Source organism: Homo sapiens, chromosome 2, assembly GCF_000001405.40.
Source record: "Homo sapiens chromosome 2, GRCh38.p14 Primary Assembly".
Classification (NCBI taxonomy): domain Eukaryota; kingdom Metazoa; phylum Chordata; class Mammalia; order Primates; family Hominidae; genus Homo; species Homo sapiens.
Window position 1 is genome coordinate 238,941,721 of NC_000002.12, and position 1,584 is coordinate 238,943,304.

At 49.9% G+C, this 1,584-nt stretch overlaps 1 annotated feature.

The window, feature by feature from the left end:
* Window positions 587-1,087: an enhancer, noted in NCBI's record as "H3K4me1 hESC enhancer chr2:239864003-239864503 (GRCh37/hg19 assembly coordinates)". NCBI's record gives its function as "activates a minimal SCP1, AML or CMV promoter by ChIP-STARR-seq in primed H9 embryonic stem cells {active_cell/tissue: H9 hESC(primed)}" and the evidence as "EXISTENCE:reporter gene assay evidence [ECO:0000049][PMID:30033119]".

Sequence of the window (1,584 nt, forward strand, 5' to 3'; positions counted from 1 at the left end):
GCACACTAGCATCCAGGGGTGAGCACAGAGGTTTTGTCCAACCTGGGTCACCTCTGTAAATGAAAGGATATTAACAATGACACGGGGACAATGGGCCTAGGCTGAAAGCATGTCACCTACCTATTGGGTCACCCTGAGTAAATAGATGAGCTGCTCACTGTGGAGTTAGAGTAACTCTGTGGACCGTTAAGAATACAAACTTTACTTTGAAAATTGAGACCAAATCCCTAGCATTGGCTTCAGCAGTTGCACAGAAGTGGGCAAGGATGGACGTGTATGTCCTGGAAGTGCTCCATCGCAGGCACAACACAGGCTGGGTCCCCAGAGCAAAATGCAGCAAGCAGAAGCTTTCGGCTGAGCTCCTGTTGCTGGGTGAAGGAGCCCTTCTTCCCCATCGGACGTCCATGAGCCAGGAAGCCCAGGAGCTTGTAGCAACTCAAGCCGGACAAGGAACAGGATCTCCTAGAACACGACCCGGCTCTGATCCGGAGGCCTGGAGATGTGCAGCCCCGGAGGCAGCTCCCGGGATACAGGCATGGATACTCTCCTTAGCACAGCATCAGCAGAGCAACCGGGAGGCCCTTCTGGCTACTGGGAAGGAGGTGAACACAGTGAACGGGCCAGAGCAGGAAACAACCAAGGTGGAGGGCAGCCCCCATGGCGCCTGTATGGATGGGTGGTACTGTGGCCAGGGAGCCTGCCCGCGGCAATGCCTGGAAGGAGCCGGCTCCTCCTGCAGAGCCAGGTGAAGCAGAGGAGCTTCGCGCTGCCCAGCACTGGTGAGGTGACGCTGGTGGTGCCCACGAGCTGCTCGTTTCTGACCACAGTTGGGTGACATTTTTATGTCCTTCTCCTCCACAATGTAATCATTCTAGAAGATGTTGTGTAATCAGAGCTTCTATTGTCATTACCTGTCAACAAGATACTACTCCTCCTGGGTACCTCTTTCCAAGCCCTGCTTAAGGAAGCCATGTTTCCCAGCTGGTCTCTGCTCTTCCTCCATCCCCTGCTCACGGCCAAACCCCCAGAATAATAATTTTGTGTCTTAAATCATTTTCAAGTTTTCTAATCACATGACATATATCTCAAAGAACGCCTAGAGGCAAATTATATGCCATAAAAATGACTCGTTCCTTAAAAGGGTAAGATCAGCCAGATCACCTACCACATACACCGGGCTTCCTGATCATTTTTTTTTTTAATTTGAGGGCAGTCATTCTCGACCAGGAATGACTTTTTTTTTCCTTTGGGATATTTGGCAAAGTCTGGAGACATTTTTGCTTGTCACGACTTGGGGGGAAATAATGTTCCTGGCATCTGGTGGGAGGAGCCAGGGTGGGCGTGGAGCACCCCACAGTGCACAGGGTGGCCCCTGGCACAAAACGTGAGCCAGCTAGGAGCATCACAGCGCGTGGTCAAGAAGCCTTGCTCTAGGTTAATTCTGAATACCCCTCTAATTTGTTTTGTTTGGACGAGCTCTTCGTTTTAGTGACTCATTTAAGTTTTTCTCATATATAAATCCATCTGTTTCTACTTGTTATGTTTCCCTCCGATTTTCTTAGATTTTCTTATGATCTTAAGATC